At 49.5% G+C, this 7,784-nt stretch overlaps 1 long non-coding RNA gene across 1 annotated transcript, besides 1 other annotated feature; it reads right to left on the bottom strand.

Moving 5' to 3' along the window:
- Positions 1-3,210: 3,210 nt before the first annotated feature.
- LOC124905090 (uncharacterized) lies at positions 3,211-6,053 on the bottom strand. Its single transcript, XR_007068023.1, has 2 exons — positions 5,912-6,053; positions 3,211-4,415 (listed from the first exon to the last, which is right to left on the bottom strand). It is a non-coding gene; the product is annotated as an uncharacterized LOC124905090 (long non-coding RNA).
- Positions 5,486-6,012: an enhancer, noted in NCBI's record as "H3K27ac hESC enhancer chr22:24609597-24610123 (GRCh37/hg19 assembly coordinates)". NCBI's record gives its function as "activates a minimal SCP1, AML or CMV promoter by ChIP-STARR-seq in primed H9 embryonic stem cells {active_cell/tissue: H9 hESC(primed)}" and the evidence as "EXISTENCE:reporter gene assay evidence [ECO:0000049][PMID:30033119]".

The following is a 7,784-nucleotide window of genomic DNA, read 5'->3' as shown; positions in this document are numbered from 1 at the left end:
AGTGGGGAGGGGACCCTCGGACAGTGCACAGAGGGGTGCATGCACCAGGCTCCTATGGCTCTCCACATTCCACCACCATGGAGGTGGGGAAACTGATGCTCGTGGACCAGCCGAACCTCAGCCAGGCCACCCCTGGACAGAGACAAGCACCACCTCTGCCTCCCAACACCTCACCACTCTGGTGGCCAGGACTCAGCAGCGTGACTGGCCCCAGACCTGAGAGCTGGTTAACTGAAAAATCACACAATTCACAAATTTGGAAAAGAGACTTTTTTCTTTCTTCTTTCCTTTCATTTTTTCTTTCTTTCTTTTTTCTTTGAGATGGGGTCTTGCTCTGTCATTCAGGCTGGAGTGCAGTGGTGCAATCACGGCTCACTGCACCCTCAACCTCCTGGGCTCAAGCCATCCTCCTGCCTCAGCCTCCCAAGTAGCTGGGACTACGGGTGTGCAACACCACACCTGGCCAATTTTTAAAATTTTTTTTGTAGAGACAGGGTCTCGCTATGTTGCCCAGGCTGGTCTTGAACTCCTGGTCTCAAGCCATCCTCCCTCCTCGGCCTTCCAAAGTGCTGGGATTAAGGTGTGAGCCACTATGCCCGACAAGACTTTCTTTTTTTTTTTTCCTTCAACTTGTGTTTTGAGTTCAGGGGCCCATACGTAGGATGTGCAAGTTTGTTACATAGATAAACATGTGCCTTGGTGGTTTGTTGCAGAGATCAACCCATCACCTAGGTATTAAGCTCAGCATCCATTAGCTATTCTTCCTGAAGCTCTCCCCCATCCCCCAACTTACTTTCTTTTTTTTTTTTTTTCTGTGAAACAAAGTCTCACTCTGTTGCCCAAGCTGGAGTGCAGTGGCAAAATCTCAGCTCACTGCAACTTCTGCCTCCCAGCTTCAAGCGATTCTCCTGCCTCAGCCTCCTGAGTAGCTGGGATTACAGGTGCGTGCCACCACACTCGGCTCATTTTGTATTTTTTGTGGAGATGGGGTTTCACCATGTAGCCAGGTTCATCTTGAAATCCTGACTTCAAGTGATCCGCCTGCCTTGTCCTCCCAAAGTGCTGGGATTACAGGTGTGAGCCACAGCGGCAACTTTATTTTTCATAAAGGGTTACAGACTGCAGGGTGGCCATCCGCCACTTTCAAAAGCATAGCCTCTGGCAGAGACCAGAGACAGGCACTTCTTTTTTTTTTCGAGATGGAGTCTCGCTCTCTTGCCCAGGCTGGAGTGCAGTGGCACGATCTCGGCTCACTGCAAGCTCCACCTCCCAGGTTCACGCCATTCTCCTGCCTCAGCCTCCCGAGTAGCTGGGACTGCAGGCGCCCGCCACCACGCCCGGCTAATTTTTTTTGTATTTTTAGTAGAGACGGGGTTTCACTGTGTTAGGCAGGATGGTCTCGATCTCCTGATCTCGTGATCCGGAGATAGGCACTTCTAAGGAGGAGAGGTTGGGGCAGGAGCTGTATGCTGAAGGGGTTGGCTAAACATACATATTCAACATGTTACAGGGAGAGCTATGAATATTCATGAAGGCAGTCTTGACACATGTGTATTGAACGAACATGCATGTAACATAGGACTCATGTTTGCTGTAGGATGAAGACGGTGGAGACTTAACATTAAAATGTATTACAAGGTCAGGCACGGTAGCTCACGCCTATAATCCTAGCACTTTGTGGAGCCGAGGCGGGTGGATCACATGAGGTCAGGAGTTCAAGAGCAGCCTGGCCAACATGGTGAAACCCCAACTCTACTAAAAATATAAAAATTAGCCGGGCACAGTGGCGGGCGCCTGTAATCCCAGCTACTCAGGAGGCCAAGGCAGAAGAATTGCTTGAACTCAGGAGGCGGAGGTTGCAGTGAGCCAAGATGGTGCCACTGGACTCCAGCCTGGGCAACAGAGTGAGACTCCATCTCAATAAAATAAATAAAATAAAATAAAATGTATTACAATTAGGCCCCATCTGTCAAAACATCTTTTCAGGGCCTGAAGGCCTGCAAGTGAGCAACTTCTGAAAACCAGCCAGAGCCAGTTCATGGTCAATGGTCTCTTATCAGGAGAAAGTTACTGAAATCAGTCTCTTGTCCAGTCGGAGCTGTAGTTATGCCTGGAAAAACAGGGGGTCAATAAGTTGGCATCCGTGAGCTGGATGAGCTGCAAAGTGTATTAATGTTGCTTCAGGCCGGTGCTTGTTGCTGCTGGAGGAAAAGGAAAGCCTCATTGCTGTTAGAACATAGTTTATTCTTTAAGTGCAGGGTCCATGAATTAACCCCTGCCTGGCTTGGCCTTGGGTCCTCTTTATAATTTGGTATCTTGTTGCCACAGAGTCTGTTCTGTCATTTTTTTTGAGACAGGGTCTGGCTCTGTCACCCAGGCTGGAATGCAGTGGCATGATCTTGGCTCACTGCAGCCTTCACCTCCCTGGCTTAAGCCATCTTCTCAACTCAGCCTCTCAGGTAGCTGGGACTACAGGCACAAACCACCATGCACGCTGCCGTGCTCAGCTAATTTTTTTTTTTTTGAGACAGGGTCTCACTTTATCACCCAGGCTGGTGTGGAGTGGTGCAGTCTCAGCCCACTGCAGCCTCGACCTCCTGGGCTCAAGCAATCCTCCCACCTCAGGCCCCCAAGTAGCTGGGAGTACAGGTGTGTGTCACCACATCCGGCTGATTTTTTGCTTTTTTTGTAAAGATGGGGTTTCACCATGTTGCCCAGGCTGGTCTCAAACTCCTGGCTTCAAGCAATCTTCCTGCTTCGGCCTCCCAAAGTGCTGGGATTACAGGTGTGAGTCACTGCGCTTGGTCCTCATCCATGTTTCGAATGAAATGATTCTTTGTTGTGGGGGGCTGTCCCCACACTGTAGGATGTTGAGCAGCATCCCGTGCCTCAGCCTGTGTGATGCAGTAGCACTCCCCACCGCACACACCCACTCATGACAACCAAAACTGTCTCAAGACAGTGCCACATCCCCCTGGTTGAGAATGGCCGCTCTAAACCAACAGGCCCCTAACTTCCATAAATAGCTTTGCCAGCTGCAGGGTGGGTACGTGGTGCTCTCTGGGGATCTCACTAGAGGGATCTGGGACTCCTGCGCCTCACTGGTTCCTAGGAACATCGGCTGTTCCTCCATCACCCCAAATGTGCCACAGAGGTTGTTTTAGTCTGCCTGGGCTGCCATAACAAAAATACTGGAAAGTGGGTGGCTTATAGCATTTTCCAGAAATTTATTGCTCACAGCTCTGGAGGCTGGGAAGTCCAAGATCAAGGTACTGGCAGATTTGATGTCCTGTGAGGGCCCATGTCCTCATACATGGCACCTTCTAACTGACATAGTGGAAGAAGCTAGCTAGCTCTCTGGGGTCTCTTTTATTTAATTACTTTAGAGACAGGGTCTCACTCTGTCACCAAGGCTGGAGTACAATGGCGTGATCATAGCTCACTCCTGTACCCAAGAGATCTTCCTGCCTCAGCCTCCTCAGTAGCTGGGACTGTAGGTGCAGCCCACTATGCCTGGCTTCTGGGGTCTCTTTTATAGGGCACTAATCCCATTCATGAGGGCTCTACCCTCATGACCTAACCACATCCCAAAGGCCCCACCTGCTAACGCTATCACATTGGTGATTAGCTTTCAACACGTGAATTTTGGGGGCATAGTGGGTCCACCTGGATGGTCCAGGATAATCTCCCCATCTCAAAAAATTGAATCACATCTTCAAAGTCACTTTTGCCATATAAGGTCTAATCTTGGGTTCTAGGGATTGGGATGTGGATATATTTGGAGGTTGTATGTGGGAGAGGGGCTGGATGGGGCTAATTCCTAATCTGGGCTTGACTGCATGGCTAGAAGAGGTGGTCTGGCAGACTAGGAGGAAGGTCTGGGAGCAAAACATGGCTCACTTTGAGATGAGGGGGCCAAGCCGGCCCACCACTTGGGCAGACCTGCCATCATCACCGACTCTCGTGGGCCGCTGTCAGAATTCAGGCAGATGCGAGACCACCAGCTTCTCCTGCGATCTGGCTTTGGGAGGCAGTGGAAGACAGATCTTTGAAAGCAGCACGGCTGGGTCAGGGGTCCAGGGAGCAGAACTGGTGGGTTTAGAGAGAAGGGAGTCTCTGGAGTGCTTCAGTGTGGTGGGATCCAGAGGCCGAACTCACACCGTCAGGGCCCTCCGTGTGGTAGCCTCCTGCTAGATAGGCTCCCAGGCCATGATCTCAATGGCTTCAGCTGAACTTCACGCCCTGCAGGGTGACAGAGCTTCTCTCCTTGCAGTTTAAACAAAGTCCCAGATCCAGCTCTCAATGGGGCCCCTCTGAGCAGTCTTCATGGGCAGGGGAGGGCTGAGGAGAAGTGGTTGGCTCAGGTCTGTGGGGCCACCTTGAGAGCTGTTGGTAGCAGCCACCTGTCCCAAACCCTGTGGACCAAAAAGGAAAAGGGAACCAAAGGAGGAGAAGGCTGCTAGGCACAAACCTCAGGTGCCCCACGGTGGGAACCTGGCTCTGTGCTCCCAGACCACACCTGCGCCTGGGCCGGGGTGCTGGGAGGCTGCCTGGAGCTTGCTTGGGAAGGCCTGGCCAGTCTCTCCCATCAGTGCCTCCCAGTGGCACCCAAAGAGCATGATAACTTTGTCCCTGTGTGTCGGGGAGAGGAAAAGGGGCTCCTGTTCCCCCCAGCAGGGGTGCAACCCTGGCTCTGTGGTGCCTGATTCTGACTCACCTGCAGAGTGAGGGTGCACTCCCTGGACCCTTGGCCACCCTGGGACTGCCACCCACCTGAGAAGGCTCATTCACTACTTGTGAACTGATGGATCTCCATGTCGGCTTTGGCCGAGCTGTTTGGAGTCTCAGACCCACATACCCGAGCAACCACCTCCAGAGCATCTGGACAAGGTGCACAGGCACCTTGGACTCAAAGTGCCAAATGGAAGTCGGCCCTGAGGCAGCTGGAAGCTCTGCGGTGCCTGCCTCGCCTCCCTCCTGCGCTACTCGTAGAACCCCCCTCTTCCCTCCAGCTGTGTGGTTCAGCCCTGACTCCACCTCCTTCTCTCTTTTCCATCTTTTTGCTGCTGGCACCACCACAGTCTACTCCCCACTCCTAATGCAATAAGCTTTGGAAAATGCACATCTGACCCTGCCTGGAGGTAGTGCAGAGACTTCCTTGGTTCCTGAGGCCCTGGAGGAAGCCCATTCCTCTCCCTCCCTGCTCATCCCACCCTGGGAGACTTGCCCAGGCCCTGCCCCTACATCCATTCTGCACCACCAGCAGTGCCAGCCAGTGTGCATTCCCAGCCCAGCCAGAGACTCTTACAGCTGGCTTTTGAAACATCTTGTTACACAGAGGAAATCAATACCAAAAGGGCGACATCTTCAACTAACACTGTAATCAATACAGATCTGACCCTTCAGGATACAGCTAATGCAGGGCTCGGAGGAAAATTCATTTGCTTAAATATTACATAAAAAATAAGAATCAAAATAAATAGGCCAGGTGCGGTGGCTCATGCCTGCAATCCCAGCACTTTGGGAGGCCAAGGCAGGTGGATTACTTGAGGTCAGAAGTTCAAGACCAGCCTGGCTAACATGGTGAAACCCCGTCTCTACTAAAAATACAAAAAAATTAGCCAGGTGTGGTGGCGGGCACCTGTGATCGCAGCTGATTGGGAGGCTGAGGGAGGATAATTGCTTGAACCTGGGAGGCAGAGGTTGCAGTGAGCTGAGATCGTGCCACTGCACTGCAGCCTGGGTGACAGAGCGAGACTCTGTCTCAAAAACAAACAGGCCAGGCGCTGTGGCTCATGCCTGTAACCCCAGCACTTTGGGAGGCCAAGGCAGGCGGATCACGAGGTCAGGAGTTCAAGACCAGCCTGGCCAGCATGGTGAAACCCCATCTCTACTAAAAAAAAAAAATTACCAGGCATGGTGGCGTGTGCCTGTAGTCCCAGGTACTCGGGAGGTTGAGGCAGGAGAATCGCTTGAACCCGGGAGGTGGAGGTTGCAATGAGCTGAGATCGTGCCACTGCACTCCAGCCTGGGTGACAGAACGAGACTCGGTCTGAAAAACAAACGAACAAACAAACCAACAAAAATAAATAAAGTATATTATTTAAGAAGTTAGTAAAGTAGGCTGGGCATGGTGGCTCACACTTGTAATCCCAACACTTTGGGAGGCTGAGGCAGGCCAATCATTTGACGTCAGGAGTTTGAGATCAGCCTGACCAACATGGTGAAATCCCATCTCTACTAAAAATACAAACATTAGCCAGGCATGGTGGCGGGCGCCTGTAATCCCATTTATTCAAGAGGCTGAGGCAGGAGAATCACCTGAACCCAGCAGGCAGAGGTTTCGGCGAGCCGAGATCATGCCACTTCACTACAACCTGGGCGACAGAGCGAGACTTCATCACAAAAAAAAAAAAAAAAAAAAGAATAAAAAAGTCAGTAAAGGAAAAATAAAGAAAGCGAAAGAACTCAGGAACAACTGAAGCAGAAACTGATAAATTTGAAATCAGAATAATAGGTCTTTGAAAAAAAAAAAGATAGGCTATTAGCTAGTGAATTGGTACAAATGAATACACAAAATAAGAAATGAGAATGAAGAAATAATCACATCTATAGGGGAACTTAAAAGATTACTCATCTTTATTTTAATAAATTTGAAAACTTGGACATAATAAAAGCCTTTCTAGGACAATATAAATGGAGTTGAGTTGCAATACTTAGGACATACTTAGGCTAAAAACAAATTGTCATTTATCTGACATTCAGATTTAATTGGGCATCCTATATTTTTATTTATTTATTTATTTATTTTTCTGAGATGGAGTCTCACTCTGTCACCTAGGCTGGAGTGCAGTGGTGCAATCTTGGCTCACTGCAACCTCCGCCTCCCAGGTTCAAGGGATTCTTGTGCCTCAGCCTCCCGAGTAAATGGGATTACAAGCACCCGCCACTGCATCTGGCTAATTTTTGTATTTTTAGTAGAGACAAGGTTTCACCACGTTGGCCAGGCTGGTCTCGAACTCCTAACCTCAAATGATCTGCCGGCCTCAGCTTCCCAAAGTGCTGGGATTACAGGTGTGAGCCACCGTGCCCGGCCGGCATCCTATATTTTTATATTCTAACTCTGGCAACCTTAAATATAAGTGACAAATGAAACCAAAAATAATGGGCAAAGGTCTAAACACATCAGTGATCATAAAAAGGAATTGAGAACATTGTCAGAACACTGTCCTGCCTTAAACACTCTTCTGGAAAGTTCCACAGGTTAAGTGTGTCGTGTTGTCAGGACCTGAGATCTCTTCTGCCAATTAAGCTCCCACACCATAGAATAAGGAGGAAAATTTGCACATCTGCTTTATGAAGCCAGCGTAGCACTGACCCCAAACTTGGCAAAGAAAACCGCAGACTAATTGTGTTTATGATGCAAAGCAAAATCCTAACAAAATTGGAGAATATATAATTAAAAAAGAGAATCCAGTAGTACATTAAAAAGAACAACATGACTTACCTACCCTAGTGGAGCCAACGCTAATATTGCAAGGAAGATCTTCTCAGTATGTCCCTGACCGTGACTCTTAGCTCTTACCTTTCACCAGAGGAGAAAAAAATCACTCCATCGAGACTGAAGACGCATTTGACAATATTTAACACCCATTCTTTTTTTTTTTTTTTTTTAAAGACAGGTCTCACTCTGTTGCCCATGCTGGAGTGGAGTGGTGCGATCACAGCTCACTGCAGCCTTGACCTCCTAGGCTCAAGAGATCCTCCTGCCTCAGCTTTTGTTT

The sequence above is a fragment of the Homo sapiens genome, chromosome 22 (assembly GCF_000001405.40).
Source record: "Homo sapiens chromosome 22, GRCh38.p14 Primary Assembly".
Taxonomy (NCBI): domain Eukaryota; kingdom Metazoa; phylum Chordata; class Mammalia; order Primates; family Hominidae; genus Homo; species Homo sapiens.
This window is presented reverse-complemented; position numbering and strand designations above follow the sequence as displayed.